General features: G+C 35.2%; 1 protein-coding gene across 3 annotated transcripts in view; it reads right to left on the minus strand.

Annotated features, from left to right (window-relative positions):
* Positions 1–1650: 1650 nt before the first annotated feature.
* EXOC5 (exocyst complex component 5) overlaps positions 1651–27855 on the minus strand; it is a 68399-nt gene continuing 42194 nt past the window's right edge. For all 3 annotated transcript variants that reach the window (NM_006544.4, XM_005267272.4, XM_047430882.1), the window contains exons 13-18: positions 23452–23560; positions 20466–20586; positions 19126–19212; positions 11097–11205; positions 10711–10926; positions 1651–9941 (exon numbers count right to left, since the gene is read on the minus strand). In NM_006544.4, the coding sequence (NP_006535.1) occupies positions 9753–9941; positions 10711–10926; positions 11097–11205; positions 19126–19212; positions 20466–20586; positions 23452–23560 (831 nt within the window). In that variant the 3' untranslated portion in view covers positions 1651–9752. The remainder of the gene's footprint in view (positions 9942–10710; positions 10927–11096; positions 11206–19125; positions 19213–20465; positions 20587–23451; positions 23561–27855) is intronic.

Genomic DNA, 27855 nt, shown 5'->3' on the forward strand with positions numbered 1-27855 from the left:
AAGAGACTACTTGATGTCCTAAGTGATAAAGTGGAAGATTTTGGCTTAGAATTTGAATCAGAATGTAAAGCATTCCTAGCATGTGAATAATCCAACCAGAGAAAATCATATTTAGACCTTCCAGTGTACACTCTCTAAAGGACTGACATCAAAAAGGGCAACCGGTGTTATTCCATTTGAGTCTACCCATTATATTCGAGCACTAAAATGTTGGAAAGCTTTTTAATTCCTTTTTTTTTTTTTTTTGGCTTTAAGTAAAAAACAATGCAAACAATTATATATAAAAATCAAATTATATACCATTAAAATTTAAAAATCATTCTCCTATTTTCAAAGCCATAGATGGAGTTTTTTTTCTCCTGCCACAACTTCTAGCAGATTATGAAGTTTAAATTTTTTGCATGACCTGAACCAAGTTCTGGCAAAAGAGATGTTCTTTCAGTAGTCAGTGGCATTCCTCCTAGACCTACTTTTCCTAAGGTATATATTTTAAGTCCATAGTGTTGGTATTCACCAAGATATGTAAACTAAGAATCTCGGAATCATCTTTGATTCCTTTTCTTGCTTACCCCCCACATCTAATAAAGCAACAATTAATAAGTCCTATTGGTTTAATCTTCCAAATATTCCCTGAATCCATCACCTCCTCTTCATTCCTGTGCTACTCCCCCAGTTCAGGCTTTCACCAGATTAATGCAGTAGCCTGGTTTCTGCCCTCTCTTCTCCTTTAGTCCACTGCATACATTCTGACCAGTTATCTTTTTCTAAAACACAGAATTGTTCATGTCATTCACTTACTTAATTCTCAATAGTTTTCTGGTTTTATGATAAAGCCTAAATTAATTGGGATACCATTTTAAAGACTTTGTTTGTTTTTGAGACTAAGTTTTGCTCTGTCACCCAGGCTGGAGTGCAATGGCACAATCTCGGCTCACTGCAACCTCCGCCTCCTGGGTTCAAGCGATTCTCCCACCTCAGCCTTCCGAGTAGCTGGGATTACAGGCACCCGCCATTTGTATTTTTGTAGAGACGGGGTTTCACCATGTTGGCCAGGCTGGTCTCGAACTCCTGACCTCAGGTGATCCACCCGCCTTGGCCTCTCAAAGTGCTCGGATTATAGGCATGAGCGACCACGCCCGGCCTAAAGGCTCTAAATAAGCTAACCCCAATCCAAATATTCGTTTTAACTTGCCCTTTTTGATGGACCCCACACATTGAGCTCTACTCACACAGCAGTTTTTCCATTCAGTGATATACCAGTGACTCATGCCTCCACACCCTGCAAGTATAAGTTACTTCTGCCTAGAATTCCCCTTCTCCTCCACCACTGATGAAATGCTACTTGCCTTTTTAAAGCTCAGCTGAAATGTGACCTCTTTTATGAAATCTTCTTAGAGGTAACAGAGCAAAGTGGTTAAAACATAGGCTATAGAAGCCTAAGGATGTAAGTTTGAATTCTATTACTTTTTAGATATATAATTTTGGTGAAGTTATTTAACTTCTTTGTGCCTCCATTTGACTCCTATTTCACATTAAGTTTATTGTAACATCTATTATAATAGATCCAGCCCAGAGACTCCTTTCTCACATGAAGTCTATCCTTCTTAGCATATATATTTTTAATGGCCTACAAAAACAACAATTGTATGATCATTTTTCCTTTGAACTTTATTAGTAAAAATATCCTATTGGTATTCAGTGCTTAATGGTCAGGTTTCCATTCATACAGTTTCTCTGATGCACTCTTATTAAATAGCAATTACAGTAGCAAGGAGATTGTATAATAGAAAAACATACGGTATGCATTTCAAATTTAATTCTTTCAAAATGTAAGTTCTGTGTCTTGGGCATAACACTTTACCCCCTCCTCAATTCAGCTTTACTAATTTGCTCACTACATTAAAAAAAAAAAAAAAAAACTTCCACCAAAAATATAGTTGTTTCTGCGTGATAAAATTGTAATTTTTAAATTTAATATTTTAAAATTTTTACAGGATTTCTGCAATGACCATTCTTATTCCCTCAATTTGGTCCTAAAGCCAAAACTTCAAGAGCTATGTGAGATGAGGATGGTCTCCTCCAGAGAGAGGGGAAGCCCAGTATGGAGTATGGAAGCTCAAGTGAGGTGAGGAAGATGTTGCAGAGGGGCGCATGGGTGTGGGTGTATATTTAAAATATGCGTGAGTGTGTGTGTGTGTATGCACACATAAAGCCCCCTAGCATTATCTATTGAGAAAGAGTAGGGTGAGACATCTCAATAATAATAAGCACATCTCATGCACAAATCTTGATTTCTAACTGCCAATTTCACTAAAAGGTGGAGGAATGGCTGATTCCAGAGCTGGGGCAAGGCAAGTACAAGATGACCTTGGAAAATCCTGTTGTGCCCAGAATAAATTGCTGTAAAAATGATGGGAACATGCCAAAACGACACAGGAGACAACCTGAAGAGGCTACTTCTGACCAAATTTGGGATAATTTGAGATTTGGTAAAATGACAGATTATAATTAGTTGAACAGAAAACTATGAATACATAGTGATATCAAGAGAATTCTGATTAGTATATATATATACACACACACACGTGTGTATATATACACACGCGTGTATATGTACACACACGTGTATAAACACACGTGTATATACACACACATATGTATATATATACACACACACCACACATATACATATATTTTTATATATATTAATATTATATATATATATATATATATATATATAAAGGATGGCTGGTTAAGGTGGCTCACACCTGTAATCCCAGGACTTTGGGAGGTTGAGGTGGGCAGATCACTTAAGGCTAGGAGTTTGACACCAGCCTGACCAACACGGCAAAACCCCATTTCTACTACAAATAGAAAAATTGGCCAGGCATGGTGGCATGTGCCTGTAGTCCTAGCTACTTGGGAGGCTGAGGTGGGAGAATCGCTTGAACCCAGGAGGTAGAGGTTGCAGTGAGCTGAGATCACGCCACCGCACTCCAGCTTGGGCAACAGAGCGAGACTCTGTCTGCAAATAAATAAATAAGGGGGACCTATATATGTCTGTATCTATTAATATATATCTACCTCCAAAATATTTACAAAGGGAAAAGTAATAGTTTTAAAGTGGAGAAGCCTGGTAAATAGTACCTTAAGAAAGTGATAAAAATGAACATCATCAGAAATGGGGCAAATTGAAATTGTGTACTATGTGATAGGATGCAACAATAACACAGAGTTGCATCCGTGGTATGTCTGCCAAAAAGCACAAACAGAATCTAATTACGTGGAAACAGAAATCCAAATGTAGGGGTGTTTTACAAAGTAACTACCCTATAATCTATAAAAATGTCCAGAGTCAAAAAAGTCAAGGAAAGACTGTGGAACTGTGTCAGAATGAATGAGACTAGAGCCACTACAACCTAAAGCAATACATGATTTTGAACTGAGATCCTTAAAAGGAATTAGGACAGCTAGTAAAATGATTGGTGTCTGAGGATTAGATAGTAGTAATATGTCAATGTTAACTTCCCAATTTTCATGTATTGTAGTTATACTGAAGCATTCTTTCTTCTTGGAAATACAAAAGTATTGGAGGGTGGTGCAGCATCATGACAGCGACTTATTCTCAAAAGGGAAAAATTTTATTTGTACAGTATTTACAACCCTTCTGTTAAGTCTGATTGTTTCAAAAATTTTTCTTTAAAAAGCAGAATGTAGAACACTAATCAGTAGATTCTTATTAGAGTTGATAAAGGAATTCAATGTGATATATAACTAAGAAAACATAATGTTAATCATGGTAAACTTTGTTCAATTCCTGTGTCCACTGTGCACATGTTCTTCAAAACTGTTTTGGTTTTGTTATTAATTTCCTTTGAAATTTTTCTCATGCAAGACTTTCAGAATCTTGTTTACACACATGCACACACACACATAATTGGGATAGCAAAATGTTCATAGATGCTGTAAAGTTGTGTGAATTCTATTTTTAAAATAAAAAAATGTACATATTACTATAAAAATAACTTCTCCCCCTTGTGGCAAAAATTGAAAATACATTCTACTGGAGAACTTAAGAGAGGCACTTAGGTATTATTCCTTATAAAATATTTTCACATAACTTCATGTGAATCCCCCATGTTATCCTCTAAATGGTACACAGTATTCACAAACAATATGCTTAGAGGTAGCTTCACAGTTTTCTTTACATCCAGCATTGTCCAGACTCTATTTGGATATTTTCTATAGCAAAAACCTAAAGGTTATTTATTTTTCTAAAAACAGGGACTCACTATGTTGCCCAGAGTGGTCTTGAACTCCTAGCTTCAAGTGTTCTTCCCACCTCAGCCTCCCAAGTAGCTGGGAAGCTGCAGACTTGATAAAAGTGCTACAATAAAAGGCCAGAGTTGAAAGGAACCAGTTACAGTATAAAGATTAAAATGATAGGCAGGCAAAGAGGGATGGCCTCACTTAGAGGCACCTGCCAATTTAAGATTACAGGGGCATCAGGAAGGCTTCTCACCTCTCAAAGTTTAATCTCAAAACTCTGGAAGTCCACCAATGGAGACTAATTCCTTTGTTAGTTCTATCCAAACTTCACTTAGTTTATTAACATAAAGATAACTGGAAGGGATACGACACTTTCTTCATTTAAGATTCCCAGTGGTGAAAACAAAGAAAGTCACTCATTGGAACTATAAATGAAACTTAGCTTTCTTATTCCAGGTTCCTACTTCCTTCCTTAACCCTCCATATTTCCTCCTATTAAGTCACTAGGCACTTATAATTCTACATTTTACTGACCTTTCACTGATTATAAAGTAATTTAAGTGATTTTTGAAAGTAAACTTAATTCCAGTTTCAGACTTTTAAATTAAAAGTGGCTCAGTTGGATACTGTCTCTTAAACACAGTAATATAAATATTAGTATCTTGGCTAAAATGAATTATTGACAATTTTAATACATGTTGCACAGTACATATTAATATAGAAAAATACATGTTATCAGCAGCATGATGTTGACCATGTTCTAATCCATTCCACCTGCTCAAATATTAGTGCAAATAATTATATATTTGTAATGCATCACTGCTGTCTAGCAAAATCTATGCCTTCTGAATAAATGACTTTCCTCTGAGGTTGACTGCTATGTGAAGTATGATGTGATATATTCCTATTTAAACTGGCTTTGTATGGTGAGGCAGACTGCAACCTTCTAAACCACTTAGAAAATGGGCGAGTGTGTTTAATTACTCATCTTTCCCCCCAAAAGTCGATAATCACAAAACAAAGGTTAATGGTACCTATCAAATAATAATGATAAAATACCTCGGGTCTAGTTCAAAAATAGGAATTTTGTTAAGCCCAGGGGCAGCCTAGCTGCTTTAATTTGGCAATTAAAATTTCTGTTCTCTAAATGTCAGGTTTCTGTCCCCTATACATTTGAACAGTTGTTTCCTCCCTAAATTTGTAAAGAGAAATGATTGATCACTGGTAGAAATAAAAGGTAAGAGTTATGACAGCTTTTAAAACCCTTAACATGCAATTCTGATTACATGAAAATGACTATCTACTGTTAATATACTAAATATTTTGCCTTACATTTTCACTCCAGCATTAGTCATTTAAAAACTACCAATGTACTAAATAGTTAACACAATTGGCAAGCCTATGACATTTAAAATAGTTTTTGAACATAAAAACACTGATTTCTTCATATCTTCCAAGGTAGAGTTGTCATTTACTTCTATGTCACAAAATATAGTACAAAATATTTGGTCTCTTTCTATTGTGAAAATTATCAAGCTGGAAAAGTATATAAAATAATACCAATAAAGATTTGTGATAGACATATTTCTATTAGGTACAAACTTAACATTAAAATTTCATGACCACTTATAATATTTAAAAAATCAAATTTAAAAAGTATGACCATACATTGAACATATTAAGAAAAACACAACAGTAAATTAGATATTGACCCTGTATGCCAACTTTGTAATATAAATACTACAATAAGAATCATATTGGAAGCAACGATTAAGCAAAACTAATGAACCTATCAAACTAAAGGATCTATTTAACGTTACGTAAGGAGAATAGCATATAGAACCTAAAAGTGAGTGAGAAAAGATTTAGGTTTCAATCTGAGCATTTTACTAGCTGTAGACCTTGACTGGTCTACTTATCTTTCTATGCATTAGGTTTTTCATCTGTCAAATGGAAATAATAGTACCCAAATCCTAGGGTTGCTCTAGAATCCAATAATATGTGCAAAGGACTTATTAGCACAGTGTGTGAGACTTAAATCAATACATGTAACTATAATTATCTTTATTATGCAGCAAAATTTTTTAAATTGCTAACTTTTAACTTCATGTAGAATTATTCAGTCTAACAATATGAACTGATCTTTTCTTCTAAAGTATAGAATAATTACAGGATAGATCAGAGAGAAATAATACAGAAACTGAATATAGTTAAACTAATTGAATGAAAGCACAAAATGCTTTGTATGTAAAATTCAACAATATATGGGTAATGTGCAGAATATTTTTGCGTTAAAAAAAGTTAATCTCCCAGATGTGAGCTTTGTTAGTCACCAACAAATTATGTACTGACTGAACTGCTGTCTCTCAAACACAGTTCAAGCATGCCTTAGCCACTACCTTAGGTACTTGACCACTTTAAGGGGTTTTGTGGCATTTCAAAAATCAAAATCTCTTTATCCAGATCCTTGTAAATATTCACCATTACAGGTAAGAAAAACGCATTTTAGGGAAGCAGTGAATTCTCCACTTGGAATCAATCTACTGATTGATAATTAAATTATTTCACTGTGAACCAGAAGGCTAGTATTTAGAAAGCAAAATATTTAGAAGTGAAAGAGGGGGGAAAAAAGAATGATCTACAATGTAATATAAATTAACCTAATTTAAATTAGATTTTAATTTAACCTACTTTGATAGTTTTTTAAAACAAGGAAGATCCTAAGGACTTGCAACTATGGCAATCCTCAAAATGGGACCAAAAATTGTCCTGGAATGGTCAGGTGGTCATCCATCTAAAGATCCATCCAGCTACTATTTAATAATTCTTCATAAGGACACTTCATCTACTCTGGTTGACTGTCATTTTCAACATCATAATTTACATAAGGTAGGCTTCCTTTATTAAATTCGTATTCTGTATTTCAGATATTTCTCAATTTTAGAAAAACAATGCACAGTGTGTTAAGAGCATATTTTCAACTTCATTCAATGCATTACCTAAATACTGCATATTAGCTCATGCGGTATTGTGTAATACTGCAAAGACCGTACTTACGTAAATGTTGGTTAAAGTTACCAATTATACAAAGCTCCACTCTCTACCTAAAATTTTACCATGTGCAAAACGAAAAACATTTTAGTTATTGATCATCTCTTCTGAGCCATACACTTTGGGCAAAATTTTGTGATGGCTATAAATATGAAAACACTTAAAAAATCAGAATACAAAGAATGCATATTGCCTCACATGACACATTTTTTTTTTTCCCTCAGAGAAAGACCATCTGTTTAGGATAAATTTCTAGTCTTGTTTATATAGTCAAGTATTTTTTGCTAAAAAAGAAAATGAGAAGACCTGTGCTGTGAAAAATTTTAAAAATCTCAAATTTTTAAATAAAAAATCATTTATAAAATTCAGGATGGATGGCTCTAAAATATAAAAAGAGTGAAATAAAAAAAACAACTGCAGGGAATTTGTTTATTGAGCATTAATGTTAACACTTTTAAATTAAGTATTCACTTACGAATTTTGTCACTGTCCTATCAACGGACATAATAGAAAATATTGCACAGAACTCAAACATGAAAATAATAAACAAAATAACTAAGCAACAAGTATATGCTTTACATTTTAAAAATTAATCCAAACAAAATAATTTGAAGCACTTCTCTGATTTGGAAGTCTTAAAATGTTATCTCATGTTTTATTTGAGATTTTTTTTCGTTTTTTCTTTTTTACAAATTGACACTGTACAAAGAGCTTAAATGGCCAGTAAAACTACTGCCTTAAAATTGTTGGCTTTAAGTAACAGAGGTAAAATTTGAATTCACATCAGAGCTTTCTAAAATGGCAATAGTACAAGCAAATGACTTTCTCTAGTATCCAAAACCTGCGCTGGCTCTCCCTTGGCTAGAAACAAGACAGCCTTCTAAAGCTGCCATAATGTCCTAAAATGCTCTGAAAGAAGTTGGTATACTTCATTCCCCAGCTTACCTTGGTAACACTGGACTAAACAGAAAATGAAGAAAATTCAGTCAATAGTAACTTAAACAGTACTAAGTTAGCTCTGGACTTAGAAGGTTTGGTAAAGTTGATGACATTCAGAATAAGGTTCTCAGAAGAAAAGCAGTTTTCCAAAAATAGGCTAAAAAGCCTATATTAAAGAAAAAATGCCAAGAGTGAATTGAATACTTAAGTTTATCTGTTCCTAGAAGACTATGAACACCACAATGGGAGCTGAAACACTATATATAATTTAGAATGCATTCTCCCAGAGCAAGTTTATAAGGTTTATAGAATAGTAATGGCCTTTCTAAATTTTCACTTGATATTTAAAATTTTATAAGTGATTTATTATGTCATCAAATTAAGCCAATTCCATTAACTATATCCAAGTAGGAATAACTTCAGAAATGCTTTGAAAAAGGACAATGACAGACCTATAGACATGAAAAGCAAACAGCCTTTGCAAAGCTCATCTCCAAATCTATCAATTCTCAATTCTTCTTAAAATAAAAGACTAACCACATGTTCAGCCATTCCATCTTATTCAAGTTTAGCATTACGACAGAAATCTCAAAGGGCTGCATGTTGCTAAACACTGTCAGTATTTCCTATATGCACCATTTAGACTATACCTCACTTTTTTTTACTTCCCTTATAATATTAAAATAATGAATAAATATGGTCCTTTAGTTAAGGTCCTCCACCTTAAGTGAAATACAAAATAAGGTAGTTTTATTAATTTCTTACTAGAATTGGCTTAAAATCTATTTACCAAATAAGAAATAGTAAACTTTTAAGTTTTACCCAGAAAGCAGAAGTATTCCGATCCACTCCTAATGTCTACATAAAATAGTTCATCATTTTAGTTCAGTTTATGACATTTTTTGGACTAGTATTAATGCTGTACCTCAGAAAAAAATCCAATCAACCAACTGCAGAAAGTATGCTTAATTGTTAACCTTTTGAAAGAGGCAAAAAAATTATTTACGAAAACCTAAAATAATCTGATTAACAATTGATGCTGAAAAGGTCATTAAAAACTGAGGAATAACAAATGTAGTTTTCCTGTATTTCACCTATTATTAATGGAAAACAGAATGGCAAAATTTCTAAATGGAATATGTTAAAAGTACAAGAACCGAAAACACTGGTAACATTTCCTTTGCCTTCTGACAGCAACATTTTCTAGGATAAAAACAGTGACATGTAGTTTTAGAGAATCTGAAATTTCTACATTCAAGAATGGAATTAAAATTCAATGTGAGGGGAAAAAAGCAAAATATAGCTAGTGGTATCCAAACTTTAAATAAAACCTCAAAGGTAAGTATGGCTGCTGTTTTGTTCCAGTCATTGTTTCACAAAATGTTGGCTGTGTCATAAGGTATCTCCTGTGCTTTCTATCAACCGAGGGCTGCTGAAGTATAAGACATTCCTCTGTAAAGGAACTGACACTGAATTCCTTTGTAAATTCAATCTCAGCTGAAGTGTCGAGCAAGGCGGGCAGATCTATAATCAGCACGAAGTTGTACGAAGGAGTGAAGTATATTCTTGTCCAGATTAGCAAGTTGTTCTCCTGAGCAGACTTGCTTTAAATTATCTGGGGCAACTACCAGAAGATTGCAAAGAGCATGCAGAGTATCAAAAAGATGTAATACCATTGGAATCTGAATTGAGAGAAGAAAAAAAGTAACATTGAAACAAAACAATTTCCAGTTTTACAATTAGCTTGTAACTTTTTACATACTGTCAGGTGGGACTTACTAGTGTGGGTGAAGTTCAACATATTAGAATTTTTTAAAGATCACAATGCATTAAAACTTAAAGATTTCAGTAGTTAAATAAACTTGCTATAATATTTCAAAAAGATTCATGTGTCAATTCTCTTCAATAGTAACAATCATATATACTTCAGAGGACTAAAACTAGTTATTAACATACAGCATTTTTCATAATTTAAATGTTACAGAAATATTCAGGGGGACATAAATGAAGACAACATTTTTTTCCTAATGTGTGACATATATAACATTAGTCATGGATGTCAATAAGTCAAAGACTGTGGAACTGAAAATACACCATAAAGCAAAAATGGGTTTAATATTAAATATATGGGCCAGATGTGGTGGCTCATTCCTGTAAACCCAGCACTTTGGGAAGCTGAGGCAGCAGATCACTTGAGCCCAGGAGTAAGAGACCAGCCTGGGCAACATCATGAAACTCTTTGGAAAAAAAATAAATAAAAATTTAAAATTTAAAATAAAAAAAAATAATAATTGGAACAACACTGTTTCAGGTAGAATGTGATAATCTATCTCATACAATATCAACAAAAGTTATAAACCTTTCACTAATTATAAGTAAATAGTGATTTTTAATAATCTGACTTATGCTCCTGGGCCTATTTGCAAGTTTGATGTTTTTGTGTACACATACCTTGAAGTCTTTGGCACACTTCCTATATTCGGCTACATCACAAATGGCCAACATGCCACCCATACAACTGTAGGAATATTGTTGAAGATGCTCATAGATAAGTCGATGAAAACGTACTCCAAGTTCCATCAAAACTGTATCCACATTCTTCCCATCCATGGAATTTTTAATCTTCTCCACTTGTTTTCTTACGTAAGCACAGACTTTTACACAGGCCTATAAAAGTTTTTCTACACTCATTACACAGGAATGTATACCAGCTTAGCTAAAGAGGAAATACAGTTTCTCATTAATCTTTAAGTATAAAAGAAAAAAATCTAGGGCACAGTAGGATACACCAATGAAAATGTTAACAAAGTATTAACAAACTGAATGATTTTACTCACATTAGTATATTGAATCAAAACATTGTTTTCATCTTCTGGCTTAAAATCTGTTTTCTTCTGTTCTGCAGCCAAAATATGCTTCATCTGTCCAATCATACAATTTAATGTCCTAGAGAATTGAGAATACAACATTCTTTAACCCATCTAACTTACTCTATGTTTATGTTTAATTATATTATTTATGCTAAATTAAATCAGTTATTTAATTTCCTATCACCATGAAACTCTTTTACTATTGGTAAACTTTAGATATTAGAAAAAGTCAGCTCTAGGTCTTAATATGAAAGAGCTCTTGGTTTTATTATCTGTCTGCTCAAAACAGAGGGCAAAAATTCTTTGTGCAATACTTCAAGATTCAAAGATCTCAGAAGTCTGTCATTAATTTAATTCCTTAACAACTAAGGATTTTCAAAGGCAAAACCATATACAAGTTGAGTATCCCTTTCTCAAAATTCTTGGGACCAGAAGTGTTTTGGATTTTGAAATTTTTCAGATTTTGGAATATTTGTACATACATAATAAGATATCTTGGGGACGGGACCCATTCTAAACACAAAATTCATCTATGTTTCATATATATCTTATACATGTAGACTGACGGTAATTTTATAAAATATTTTAATAGTTTTGTACATGAAACGTTTATGTTCATTGAGCCATCAGAAAGCAAAGATGTCACTATCTCAGACACCCATGTGGACAATCCGTGGCTGTCTGGCATTACCATCACTCCTGACTCTGAATTTATATGCTACCAATAAGCAATCATTTTCTTATACTCACTCACACATAAGTACTTAACAGTAAAAAAGATGACATGTCATTCATACAGAGAAAAAATAAGATATTTAAGGTAACCAAACAGCACAGTAACATAACCACAATACCTGTTTGCCTGTTAAACAACAACAATGTAGCAGGTTTTCAGTCTCCACCTACCATGCTGTGCTTTCATGAAAAGGTTACTCTATCCTATATTTTATTTTTTTAGGTGACAAGAAACAACAGAAGCAATTGAGAGACCAGAAAGCAGGACCTCTTTGGATGAGGAGATATTCTGCTGGATGGCTTCTTAAAAGTTTCCTCTGGAATTATCTGCCTCATTAATAATGGTTTTTGTCTTAGAAGTCTCTGTTTGATTTTGTAAACTGATATGACTTATTGTTCTGTTATGAATGTACACTGCTGTACCTTTAATAAGTCCATTGCACATTTTCACCATGTAATCTATAGGCATTTTTTCTGCAGTGTTAGCAACGTCACCTTGTCACTATTATCACAATCACCTTGATTTGGAACCATTTTGGCTATTTCACTACCAGTCCATGAATGAGCAACTGGAGTCTCACTGATGTTAAAAAATTCTTTTGATATTCACTTCATCCAACTTACTGATGGACTCTAAATGTATTATTTTTTGTATATGTAAGAAGTCAGACGTCACTTTTTTCTCACTTGAAATATGGAAATCTTCAAAGTCACCACCTTGTTCATCCTCTTCACTGAACATAGTTGAAGGCCAGAGGTTGTGCCAGGCATGCATAACTGTCTTTAGTTACTGTGTTCCAAGCACTGGCAACAGCATATACAGCATCTTTCATGCTCAGCTCATTTTGAAAACCTTCCATACTCCTGCCTCTGTTCACCGTTGCTAGTATGCTGTTCAAGAAAGTGTTCTAAGAGGCCGAGGTGGGAGGATCACTTGAGGGCAGGAGTTCGAGACCAGACTGGCCAACATGGTGAAACCCCGTCTCTACTAAAAATACAAAAATTAGCCAGCCATGGTGGTGGGTGCCAGTAGTCCCAGCTACTCAGGAGGCTGAGGCAGAAGAATTGCTTGACCCGGGAAGATGAAGTTGCAGTGAGCTGAGATGGCATCACTGCACTCCAGCCTGGGGCAAGACTCTGTCTCCAAAAAAAAAGTGTTCTGAGACAGGGTCTCACTCCATCACCAGGCTGGAATGCAGTGTGATGATTGCTCACTGCAGCCTGGACCTACCAGGCTCAAGTGATCCACCTACCTCAGCCTCCTGAGTAGCTGGGACTACAGGCACATGCCAGAACACCTGTCTAATTCTTAAATTTTTTGTGTGTAGAGACAGGGTCTCACTATGTTGCCTCAGGCTGGTCCCAAACTCCCGGGCTCAAGTGATCCTCCTGCCTCAGCCTCCCAAAGTGTTGGGATTATAGGCCTGAGCCACCATGCCCACCCAAGAAAGTGTTTCTATATTTACTCTTCATTGATCTAAAGAAACCTTGGTCAGAAGACTGAATAAAGTCACATTGGGAAAGAGTATGACACGAACAGTTGTCAAGGAATAACAAAATCTTGTAGTTGTTATCCAGTCCAGCTTCCCTGCAGTATGTGTAAGCCACTAGTACAAAATGTTTGTAAAACCAATCAGAAAAGACATCCCTGGTTATCCATGCCTTTTTGTTAGCATAACGGTGGACCCAACAAGAAATTCCCTCCTTTGAAACAATGAAGATGCAAGCTTTAGCCTATTACAGCAAGCTTACACTTATACATGCCTGCTGCATTAGCACACTCTAGCACAGTTACTCTGTCCTTGGCATCCTCAATTTCTGTAGGAGCCATCTTATCACCTGTATTGTCAGTGTCTTCTTGGGGCAGTAATGCCAACATAGTGGTGTTTCATCAACATTATAGACTTATTCTCACACCAGATTTTCATCAGCAACAACCCTGGCAAACTCATTAAGGAATTTCTCTGCTGCTTCATGACCAGCAGATGCTTTATCACAACAAACCTTTAAAAACATAACGCTGTGTCTGTTCTTAACTTTTGGCAAACGGCCCATTGAACAGCCACGATTCCCTTCCATTTTCAATTCATCATGATAGATCTTTGCTTGTTTCATGATCACCATACCATTAAGTAGCAATGTATTCATTGCAATGCTGATAGATCCACTCTTTCGATACATAATCAAGACCTTCACTTTTAACTTTATGCAGTGTTTTTATATTTTTCATTAACTTCTGTTCATCACTTTCAGCACAGAGTTTCTCCTTCTGTTTCTTCAGGTAATATATGGTGGTCATTCCAATACCATACTCTTCTGTAAGACATTTCACACTTACACCGCCATCCTGTTTGTCCAGCAGCTTTGATAAACGTAAGTGCTGCTAGGCATGGTGACTCACACCTGTAATCCCAGCACTTTGTGAGGCTGAAGTGGAGGATCACTTGAGCCCAGGAATTCAAGAACAGCCTGGGCAACATAATGAGACCCTATCTCTACATATAAAAAAAAAATGGCTGGGTATGGTGGTGTGCAGCTGTGGTCCTAGCTACTCAAGAAGCTGAGGTGGGAGGACTGTGTGAACCCAGGAGTTCAAAGTTGCAGTGAACTATGATTGCGCCACTGCACACCAGCCTGGGTGACAGAGCAAGATCATATCTCTAAACAAATTTTTTTTTATTTTTATATATTTATTTATTTTTTTGAGACACAGTTCTGCTCCTGTTACCCAGTCTGGAGTGCAGTGGCGTGATCTTGGCTCACTGCAACCTCTGACTGCCAGGTTCAAGCAACTCCCCTGCCTCAGCCTCCCGAGTAGCTGGGATTACAGGCTCCTGCCACCATGCCCGACCAATTTTTGTATTTTTAGTAGAGATGGGGTTTCACCATGTTGGCCAGGGTGGTCTCAGTTCGAGACTGAGCCACTGTGCCTGGCCACAAAAAAAATTTTTTTTTAAAGATAAACAGGCTGAGTGCAGTAGTTCACGCCTGTAATCCCAGCACTTTGGGAGGCTGAGGTGGGTGGATCACTTGAGGCCAGGAGTTTGAGACCAGCCTGGCCAACATGGCAAAACCCTGTCTCCACTAAACATACAAAAAATTAGCTGGGCATGGTGGTGCGCACCTGTAGTCCCAGCTACTCGGGAGGCTGAGGCAGGAGAATCACTTGAACCCAGGAGGCATGGGTTGAAGAGAGCCAAGATCACACCAATGCACTCCAGCCTGGGAGACAGTGAGACTCCACCTCAAAAAACAAAAACAAACAAAAAGATAAACATAAAGTTTCCTCTTGTTCTTATCACTGTTAACCTCAGGGGTATCTGTAGGCCTTTTTGAGATTCCACAACATCTTTATACCACAGAGCACAGAATAAGGAGAAAAAAAAGCACACACACAGGTCTTGGCTGCACGTGGGGCATTGTGAGCCACCTACCATTGGCATGTCCAGCCTACACACATGCCATTTTATTATTCTTTGTAGGCATGCTTGTTGTAGGGGGGGATTTGGACATGCACAGAAAATATTTATCACAGCTGAAGAGGGTTGGGTGGGTCTTTTTTCCCTTGTGGATACTCAAATAAACCGTGTGCTGTGCATCTGTATTTTGACTGTGCCCTGTCACATGAGGTCAGGTGTAAAATTTTCCACTTGTAGGGTAATGTCAGCACTCAAAAAATTTCAAGTTTCAAATTTTGAAGCATTTTTATTTCGGATTTTTGGATTGGGGTGCTGAATGTGTACAGAATGCTGCCGGTGGAGATAGGGAACTTATGAAGAATGGCCAAGGTTGGGAAAAACAGGTAGGAGCAACACTGAGTCTCACAGTACAAGGACAATCAGAAGGATGGATAAGCGGTACTAAAGATCCAACTGAGAAATGAGAGCATAGATTTGCAGTGGTACCAATAACGTACATGTTATGTGATATTCTCCAACAGTGAGGAGTCAACCAGTTATGGGAATAAAAGAGACTGCATCTATCAGAGGTTAGGGTCTGTAAGACAGTTGTGATTGAAGGAAATGTACTTTAGGGTATTTCAAGAAAGTAATTCAAAAGATGGACCAAGTGATATAAGCACAATAACTAAAGAAATAAAGCTAGGAAAAGGATAATAGATTGGCATAAGATGAAGAGATTAAGAGACAGAGGTCCTGCTGAAGTCAGAAAAATCCCAGGACCAGATGGCCTTACTAGTGAATTCTACCCAACATGAAGAGAAGAATCGGCTGGGCGCAGTGACTCATACCTGTAAGCCCAGCACTTTTGGAGGCTGAGGCGGGTGGACTGCCTGAGGTCAGGAGTTCAAGACCAGTCTGGCTAACACAGTAAAACCATGTCTCTACTAAAAATACAAAAAAATTAGCAGGGTGTGGTGGTGTGTGCCTGTAATTCCAGCTATTTGGGAGGGTGAGGCAGGGGAGCTGCTTGAACCAGGGAGGTGGAGGTTGCAGTGAGCCAAGATCGTGCCACTGGACTCCAGCCTGGGCAACAGAGGGAGACTCCGTCTCAAAAAAAAAAAAGAAGAAGAAGAATTAACACCAATCGTTCTCAAACTTTTTCAAACAATGGAAGAACTGATTACACTTTCAAACTCATTTTACAAAGACAGCATTACAGTGATACCAAAGCCAGAGAAGGACAATATAGGAAAGAAAATTACAGGCCAATATCCCTGATGAATAAAGATGTAAAAAAAAAAAATAGCAAACTGAATTCAATAGCACACTGAAAGGATCATACACCATAACCAAACAGAGTTTATCCCTGAGATTCAAGGATGGTTCAGCATATGCAGATCTATAAATGTGACAGACCACATTAACAGAATGAAGGATAAAAATCACATAATTGTCTGATGATGTGAAAAAAAAAACGCTTCTGGTAAAATTCAACACTCTTTCATGACAAAGACTTACAAACAAATTAGGTTTGAAGGAATATACCTAAAGATAATAAAGATCATATATGACAAGCCCACAACTAATATCAAAGTGTGAAAAGCTCAAAGTGAAAAGCTCAAAGCTTTTCCTCTAACATCAGGAACAAGAACAAGGATGTCCACTCTCACTACTTCTATTCAACACAGTAGTGGATGTCCTAGCCAGAGCAGTTAGGCAAGAAAAAGAAATAAAAGACATCTAAATTGGAAAGAAAGAAGTAAAACTGTCTCTTTGCAGATGATATGATCTTAGATAGAGAAAACTCTAAAGACTCCATCAAAAAATAGAACTAATAAACAAATTCAGTAAAGTTGCAAGACAGAAAATCATCATACAAAAATCAGTTGTTTTTATACATTATCAGCAAACTATCCAAAAAAGAAAGAAAAAAAATCCCATTTACAATAGCATGAAAAAGAATAAAATATTTAGGAATTAACCAAGGAAGTAAAAGACTTATACACTGAAAACCATAGAACATTGCCAAAAGAAACAAGTAAATGGAAACATATCCCGTGTTTAGAGCTTGAAAGAATATTGTTAACCTGTCCATACTACTCAAAGCAATTCAATGCATTCCCAATCAAAATTCCAAAGGCATTTTTCACAGAAATAGAAAAAAAAAAAACACTAAAATTCTTATGGAACCAGAAAAAATCCTGAATAGCCACAGCAATTTTGAGAAAGAACAAAACTGGAAGCATCGTACTTCTTGGTTAGAAAATATATCATACAGCTACAGTAATTAATGCAGTATGGTACTGGCATAAAAACAGATACACAGCCCAATGGAACAGGATACAGAGCCCAGAAATAAATCCATCCATTTATGGTCAACTGCTCTTTAACAAGGGTGCCAAGAACACACAATAGGGAAAGGATAGTCTCCTCTATAAATGGTTCTGGAAAACTGGATATCTACACACAGGAAAATGAAATGACACCCTTATCTTATACTCTACACAAAAAAACCCAACTCAAAATGGATTAAATTTAATATAAGACCCACAACTATAAAACTAGTAGAAGAAAACGTAAGAAAAAAGTTTCTTGACATTGATGTTGGCAATGACCTTTTGGATATGGCCTCAAAAGCACAGGCAACAGAAACAAAGACAAATGAGACTGCATCAAACTAAAGAGCTTCCGCACAGCAAAGAAAACCATCAACAGCCTATGAAATGGAAGGAAATATTTGTAAACCATACATCTCAGAGGTGTTTAACACTCCAAACATATAAGGAACTCAAACAACTCAATAGCAAAAAAATAAATGATCCAATGATTAAAGGCAAAGAACCTGAATAAAAATTTTTGAAAGAAGACATACAGATGGCTAACAGGTATATGAAAAGGTGCTCAACATCACTAGTCATCAGGAAAACGCAATCAGTTATCACTTCACACCCGTTAGGATGGCTCTTTTCAAAAAGGCAATAGATAACAAGCGTTGTCAAGAATGCAGGTAAAAGAGGACATTTGTACACTGTTGATGGGGATGTAAATTGGTACAGCCATTAAGGAAAAGTACAGAAATTCCTCAAAAACTTAAAAACAGAGCTACTATATGATCCAACAACCCCATTTCTGAATATCCAGGCATACCTTGTTTTATTCTGCTTTGTTTGACTGTGTTTCACAGATACTGTGGTTTGTTTTGTTTTTTTACAAGTTGCAGGCTTATGGCAACGCAAGTCTATCCGTGCCACTTTTCCAACAGCATGTGTTCACTTTGTGTTTCTGTGTCACATTTTGGTAATCCTTACAATATTTCAAACTTTTTCATTACTGCTAAATCTGTTATGGTGATCTGTGATCAGTGATCTTTGATGTTACTATTTTAATTGTTTTGGGGTACCATACCCATATAAGACAGTGAACCTAATTGACAAATGTAGTGTGTGTTCTGACTACTCCAGATAATGGCTGTTTCCCTGTCTCTCTGCCTCTCCGTGGGCCTCCCTATTCCTTGAAACACAGTAACATTGCAATTAGGACAATCAATAATCCTACAATGGCCTCTAAGTGTTCAACTGAAAAACGTCACATATTTCTCACTTTAAATCAAAAGCTAGAAATGATTAAGCTTAGTGAGGAAGGCATGTTAAATGCCAAGATAGTCCAAAGTAAAAAACTTCAGGATCCAATAAAAACAACACTCTAATAAGGATGAAGGCAATATGTAAAAATAAAATCAAATGTAGCAATATGGTGGAATTAAGATAAATATTTTTCTTCTCTACAAAGTATTTTCATGCTGCTATAATATGGTGTTTTTATAATTTAAAAAAATGCAAGAGACAAAACCAACAACTTGCCTATCAATGCCAGTATCCAATTTCATCTCCATTTGTTCAATTATTTCTTTTTTCTTCTGAAGGCATTCAGATAACTTAGGAGAAGAGCTATTGTATATTTAAAATGGAAAAAGAATCATATTAATAGTCTAATATTTTCTAAAAGTTTTTCATACACCTATGTGTATTACATTATATACATTTATAAATATATCCATATATACACATTAATATTGTTAACAAATCCAAGAAGCATATAAGAAGCAAAGTAATTATTTAGCATTCACTATGCCCAATTCATTATAATAGACTAAAAACAACCGATTAAAAGGGAAGGAAGAGGACCACTTAAATTTGTTATTTTGATCTCTGAGGAGACATCTCTCAAGAATATAAATGTGACTTTAAAATTTTGGAATTATTTGGTTTTCTTTATAAACAAATATCTAGTGTAATACCAAGAAAAGTTATAGACTATCATCACCAGAGTTTTAAGAATACAGTAAATCATACTATAAAATTTGGAGGGTAACAGCCAATCCAGTTGTACTTTTAAAAACCAGACAACCATATTTGCCTTCTGAATGCTATCAGAATGTCAAAACATTCAAAATATTAAGAAATAGGCAACCCTAATAATTGTGTGAATTCTCTGCTTTGTGGCATAACAGCTCTTAAAAAGTAAATTTCCTTTCAAAGTATGATTCAGGGATTACAAGTGACTGTTATCTTTGAGACTGTTTCTGGACTAGTCTCGGCATATCAATGTTTACAACAAAATGTCAAAAAATTTTATATGAGTATTTTTCCTCTTACATAATAGTGTTAAACAGATAATTCTGTAAAGCATGTTCACATATACACCATCTTATTTAATTCTCAAATGCTTTATAAGTTCACATAAATTGATATGAAGATATAAACCAAACCTTACTCTAATGCCTCATTAAAATCTGTCCCATTAATCTCACAAAATTTTTTGTATGTATCTTTACATTATAACAAGTGGGTACATGGACTTTGTCTATCGGATCTTTTAAAAGATGTCAAATTTGCTGAGTTTCACTAAGCTGGAGGTCCTCTTTCACATGAGATTTCAGTTTTAGGTTTGTGACAGATTAAATCTTTTGAAATACACCAAAATTAATAATATAGTGGAAAGAGAAAACAGAAATGCAAGAAGAAACAATATCTAATGTTTTATTTCCTAAGAACTTTTATATTTTTATTTCATTTCACTTGTCCAGTTTGACATTTTTTGTGAAAATGTACTTTTTAAATTTAATGAAAATATATATAGATTATGTAGAATGCTATAATAGTCACTGAAATATCAATGAAAATCAGATAATTTGACTAACCTTATTAGTGGCATAAGGTGATCATTAAACTGTTTGTCAAAAAGATGAAAAATAGTATTGGCCTGTTGCACAACGTCCAAAAAATAAAGATTTGCATTCCTAGAATCTGAAGAGGGAATTCCTAAAACCAGAAAGCATACATATGTTAGAATCATCCTTGAAGAAATTCATCTTGGCAACAGAAAAAAAGAATGTGGTTTTTTAATCTGTAACATAAAATAAATGACACCGCTATTTTAATACATCAATAATGACTTCTGTGGACAGAAGAGGAAAATCAAGCTTAAACTTATACTAGTAAAACTCATCCAAAGTTATTTTTATGCCCAATGTTCACCATCTACTTAGCCTTCATGATTCACGTGAGCCATGAATACACCTCCACATATTTCTTATAACCAGGCCTCTTTATCTCTGATAACAGTTCGAATAATTTTCTCATTGGTCTTCCTCATTCAAGTCTCTTTACCTTTTATCCTAGATACTGCTGCCATAGTAATATCCCTAAACTGACACATTTCACTTACTGTGCTCTACACTATCTCCTCAAAAATACTCAAAATGTCCTATCTACAGATTACATTCCTGATTTTATTCTGGAATTTATTCAGAATAAAATAAAAAGGGAATCAAGCCACTCCATATTCTGACCTCAAAATGTCAGCTGACCTCTCTGGATTTCCATTTCCTCCTTTTTGTAAAGAATAACAGATGAACTCTAAGGTCCTAGATGTTTATGTTTCTAGCTAAAAGTAAAAGACTTAAGAGACTAAAGAAAATATGCATAGCTAATGAGAAAATACAGGCTTGACACATAGAGTTCTTTTTAGAACAATGATTTTTTTTTTCTCTTAATAATGGAAAACAAAGGTGTTTCCCTCCGCCCCCCCTGCCCCCGCAAGTAAAAGACAAGATTACCAACTGGTAAGAAAATTGAAGGCTTGAATAACAAATGAACTTTACAAGAGAAAAAAACAAAATCAATACATATGTAGAAAATATGAATCATTGTTATTAATGAAAGACATAAAAATTAAGGCAATATTGATGTACTTTTTTTCTTTATAGGCATCAGAACTCAGCTACAGTGTAAGTTTTTAACCACGAAATTAAAATTTTTAAAGAATATTCAATAATTACAGAAAAACTGGCACACACAAACAGTCCAGCAGCGGCATAAGTTACTGGGAAAAGAAACCTTTAGGAAAATAGCTTAAATCAAAACAAAAAATTCTTGGGAGGCTGAGGAGGGAGGATCGCTTGGAGCCAAGAGTTCAAAAACAGTCTAGGCAACAAAGTAAGACCCCAACTCTACAAAAAAAGAAAAAATTAGCTAGGTGCAGTGGCATGCACCTGTAGTTATAGCTACTCAGGAGGCTGAGGTAGGAGTATTGCTTGAGCCCAGGAGTTCAAAGTTGCCATGAGCCATGACTATGCCACTGCACTCTGGCCTGGGTGACAGAGCGAGATTCTGTCTCAAAAATAAAAATAAAAATAAGGGCATATCAAAATTATTATATATACACACTTTTTTTAATTTTTTAGTCCCTTACTCAGTTTTACTTTTCTTCATTGCACTTTCTAATCATTTGTCTATCTTCTCCATAAGAATATAAACTCCACAAGTACAGGAGTAGGCATTTAATAAGCATGTGTTAAATGAATGAATTCTGATGAGTGGTGGCAGACATTAACAGATAAAAATTTCATTGTGATAAGTGCTATAAAAAATTTAATGCAATGAGAAGATAATAAGGATAACTGGGCTGGGAGAAGAGGGCTACTTTAGCTAGGGTGATGATCAGCAATGCCTCTCTGAGAAGATAACATCTTAGTTGAGATCAGATGATTGAAAAGCCAGCCATGAGAAAAGCTGAGGCAAAAGGATTTTGGGGATAGGGAAACACCAAGTGCAAAGAGACTAAGCAAGGAAAAACAATAAGGGTCAGAGTGACTGAGCAGTGAGAAGAAATGCAATGAGAGATGATCAATACATACCAGGCCAGATAAAAAGTCATGCTTCTCTACAGTTTGCTGTTGTTTTCCCCTTAAGAGTAATAGGAAACCACCACAGAGTTTTAAATAAGGAAATAATTAAACTGGCTGTTAAATGAAGTCAGTAATGTGGAGAGGCAAGAATGTACACAGGGAGACCAGTTACAAGTAGACAGAGATAATGGTGTTTAAATTAGGGTGGCATCAGTGAAGATGGAGAAGAGTACATGAATTTGACTTATGCCTGGAAGTATACTGACAGGATTTGCTGATGGATTGGCTATCAGGATTGATTTCTGAAAAGGAGGAATTGAGGAACTCCTGGGTTTTGTTGGGGATTGAGCAAGTGGGAAATGGTAATGCCTTTTAAAAAACTGACATACAATAATCACGCATATTGGTAACGCCTTTTAATGACAAGGGAAGAATGGGAAAGGAACAGGTTTAGAGGGAAGATAAAGAGTTTCATTTTGGATATGTTAAGTTTGAGATGACCATTGAACAGGTGAAGTAGACAACTGAATTAATGAGACGGGACTCAGGTCATTATTATGCTACCAATACTAACTACTAAGACCAAAAGACCAAAAGCAAAATAAGAATTTTAATTTGAATCTATTTTTTTCCAGACTTAGTTTTTAATACTTCTCTTTCTAAATTTTACATTACTCAATTCCCCAATCAGAATTGTTTTCGCCTTCATTTTGCTCCTCGACATTTTCTAACTTACAGCATTGTAAGACATTGTGTCATACATTGTAGTGACTTAAGTAGCTTATTATTCTATTATGCCATATGTAAACAATATGAGAGAACCATTCAGTATAGCTTTCAGCACCTGGCAAATCCTTGCATTATAAAAGCTCAAACTTCATTGCACCGAACTGAATTTGAGACACAGAGATGATTATAAGCAAAACAACATTATGCATATAGTTTAACCAAGCAGAATCAAAAGAATTTAACACAAGTGTAACACAAATATACTTACCAGCAAGTCCTGTTTCCAAAGCATAATCAATATGCTCAATACATAAAAATTCCACAAGAATGGTAAAAATTCTGAAGGCATTCCTTGGTAAGTCAGAAGGATCAGAGAGCTTAAAAACAAAAATCAAACAATATCACTCCTCAAGTCTACCTTTTGAAAATGCCAATTTTTTTTAAGCAATCAATTTTTTATAGGATGTAGTCAGTGTTTCAGGTATGAAAATAACTCACAGCTCCCCCCATACTGCGTGTGCATGCACAAATACACACACACACAATTACAATGCTCCATATTTATCTACAACTCTCCTGACTTAGAGTAATGTTTTTCAAACTTGGATTGCAATCCATTAGTGAAATCCAAGTATACTTTCATAAAATGTATACCCCCATATATATATATATATACCCCCATATATTATATACACACACATATATATATACACACACACACACATATATATATATATATATGTATACACACACACACATACACACACACATACATACATACACAGGGCTAACATGTAAAATGCATTTCTTACTGTGGGCCAAAGAGGTTTGAGAGCCACTGACTGAGCAAAGAACAGTCTAGTAAAACTCAGAACAAAAAGAATTCTTTGTTTTACTGGGGAGTAAAGATGGAGAAATTAATAACAGATGCACCATAAAATATAACTGGTTCAAATAATGGTTTTACCATTTCCTGATTAAGTGAACCTTTGAGATGTTATTTAACCCCACCATGCCTCAATTTCTTCATTTGTAAGATGGGAATAGTATTAACAGTACTTACATTCTAGCCTTGAGGTAAGAATAAATACGAAAATAAGCATAAAGTGTTTTTAGCACAGTATTTGCACATAGTGAGCTTACAATATTCATTTTGGCGCTGCTGTTGCTGTTAAACTAGCTATTTAGTAAAATTATTAGTTATGCTGGGAAAATAAAATCCTTTTTTAACAGTCAAAAAATTACTCCTGACTTCTTATAATTGCTTTCTATATTATTTATACATTGATTTCTGCTTCTGTCAAACCTATTTGTAGTCTTAATTCATGTGTCCTCTTGGGGTTAATACTTATTATCTGATGTATTAAATTAGAAGTTGATAGGAATTCTATAACCCCCTTTGAATTCCCACTGATTATAAATACTGATTTGGTATTACTCAGCTTCCTTCCTGGTCTTATTAATACTACCCAACCTTTACCCCTCCCTCATCAGTCTCTCTACTCCAATATTCACCCTCCTCCTCTAATCACTGATGCTCAAAAAATGCTCTTACCTTCTTCACAAGCTATTCTTACATTCCTCCTATTTACATCCAAACATCCATGAATAATAGACAGAAGAGGCAGATGGAAAATTGGTAAGGATATAGAAGACTTGAACAACATAATCAACTAAGCCTAACTGACATTATACAATACTCCATCCAACAACATCAGGATATATATTTTTTTCAAGTGCATACAAAAAAGATGGACCATATTCTGGGCTAAAAAAACCACAAGTCTTAATAAATTTAAAATGGGTTCACATCATACAAAGTAAATTCTCTGACCACAACGGAATCAAATTTAAAATCAGTAACAGAAAGACATCTAATAAATTCCTAAATATTTGGAAACTAAATAACATATTTCTAAATCACGTTTGGGCCAGAACAAATCAAAAGCAACATTAAAAGGATTTGAACTGAATAAAAATAAAACACAACATACAAAAATTCTGGGGATGCAGCTAAAGTAGTATTTACAGGGAAATTTGTAAGACAAAACACCCGCATTAGATTAGGAAAGAAGAAAGTTCTCAAATCAATGACCTCAGCTTCCACCTTAGAAAACTAAAAAAACAGGGGGTTTGGGGTGAGGGGTGGGGATAAAACCCAAGTAAGCAGAATAACAGAAGTAATAAAGAGTAGAAATTGATGAATACAAAACAGAAAAACAACAGGGAAAAATTAATGAAACCAAAAGCTGGTTCTTCGGGGGGAAATAAATCAGTAAAATGAATAAATCTCTAGCCAGATTGATCAGAAAAAAAAATAACACAAATTACTAATATTAGGAAAGTGGTGACATCACTGTACGCATTCTACAGCTATTAAAAGGATAAGAAAATATCATGAATATAATTTTATTCCAACAAATTCAACAACTTATGTGAACTACACAAATGCTTAAAACATACAAACTACCAAAGTGGACTTAAAAAGAAGTGGATAACCTGAATTGTTCTGTATCTACTAAAGAAGTTGAATTTGTAGTTTAAAATCCTCACACACAAAAAAATTCAGGCCCAAATGACTTCACTTGTGACTTTTACCAAAGAAAGAAAGAAAGAATACCAATTCTACTCAAACTCTTCCAGAAAATTGAGAGGGGTGGTGGAAATATTTCCCAACACATCCTATGAGGCCAACATTACCCTGATACTAAAACCAGACAAAGACATAAAAAGGAAAAAAAGCTGGGCGTGGTGGCTCACACCTGTAATCTCAGCACTTTGGGAAGCCGAGGCGGGCGGATCACCTGAGGTCAGAGGTTCAAGACCACCCTGGCCAACATGGCGAAACCCTGTCTCTACTAAAAATACAAAACTCAGCCGGGCATGGTGGTGGGCGCCTGTAGTCCCAGCTACTTGGGAGGCTGAGGCAGGAGAATCGCTTGGACTGAAGAGGAGGAGGTTGCAGTGAGCCGAGATCGTGCCACTGCACTCCAGCCTGGGCGTCAGAGTGAGACTCCGTCTCCAAAAAAAAAAGGCCAATATCCCTCATGAACACAGATGTTAAAATTCTTTACAAAAGTTTAGCAAACTTAATCCAACAATATATAAATATGACAAAAGGTCAAAGGTCAATTGATGACCAACTGGAGTTTATCAAAGAAGAAATGCAAGGCCAACATTTGAAAATCAATCACTATAATTTACCATATTAACAGAATAACAAAGTTTTGCATAACATCTAACATCTAATCCTCATAAAACCACTCAGCTAAGTAGGATAAAATAATTTTCTCAATCTGAAAAAGAACATCTATGAAAAACCCAATTAGTATCATACTTAATGGTGAACGATTAAATAATTTATTCTTAAGATCAGAAATAATGCAAAGTGTTCACTCTCATCACTTCTATTCAGCACTGTACTAGAAGTCTGGCCAGTACAATAAGGCAAAATAACAAATAAAAGACATCTATATTGGAAAAAATAAGTAAAACTGTATTTATGGGCTGATAATATGATAATCTACACAGAAAAGCCAGTGGAATCTACAAAAAAAAAAAAAAGGCAAATAGAACTAATAAGTGAGTTTAGTTAGGTTGCAGGTCTGAACCCAAAAGTATCTGAGACAAGTCTCAATCAATTTGGAAAGTTTATTTTGCTAAGGTTAAGGACATTCCTATGACACAGTCTCAGGAGGTCCCGCCAACACATGCCCACCTAAGTTGGTAGGGGCACAGCTTGGTTTTACACATTTTAGGGAGACATGAGACATCAATCAATAGGTGTTATGTACAGTGGTTCTGTCCGGAAAGGCGGGACAACTTGAAGGGGTGAGAAGGTGCTTCCAGGTTACAGGCAGATAAGAGACAAACAGTCGTATTCTTTTGAGTCTTTGACCACCCTTTCACTGAATATACAATTTGCATGTCAGAGGTGGGTAGAGGAATAATCACTTGTGCCTTAATCTGGCTCGGTGAATCTACATTTTTACATAAACAATAGGACAGAGGAAGCAATCAGATACGCATTTCTCTCAGGTGAGCTGAGGGATGACTTGAGTTCTCTCCTTTGTCCTGCAACTGTGAAGATAAGTTATCAATTTACATTGCCAAGGTGAAATTCAATAAAACTGTTTTAGGGGAAAGATCTTGAGGCCCACAAGGAATTCCTATCTTACTTAGGAATAAAATGGGAGGCAGGTTTGCCTGATGCATTTCCCAACTTGAGTTTTCCCTTTGGCTTAGTGATTTGGGGGTCCAGAGATTTATTTTCCGTTCTCACAGGATATAAGAGCAATATATAGAAATCAACTGTATTTCTATAGACTAAGTAAGTTAAACTAGAAATTAAATATAAATCTTAAAAAGACCATTTACATATGCTTATAATGGCATCAAAATATGTGAATTCTCCCCAAATAGAACTACAGAGTCAATGTAATTCCAATCAAAATCTCAGACTTTTTCAGAAACAGACAAGCTATTATAAGACATAATACAAAATGATTTATATAAAAATGTTAGAGGACTTAGGACTTACACTACCCGATTCAAGACTTATTATAAAGTTACAGCAATCAAGACAGTACAGTACAGGCATAAAGACAGACCAATGGAACACAAGAGTCCAGAAACAGACCCACATATAAATGGTCCATTGATTTTTGACAAA

This window comes from Homo sapiens, chromosome 14 (assembly GCF_000001405.40).
Source record: "Homo sapiens chromosome 14, GRCh38.p14 Primary Assembly".
NCBI classification, from domain to species: domain Eukaryota; kingdom Metazoa; phylum Chordata; class Mammalia; order Primates; family Hominidae; genus Homo; species Homo sapiens.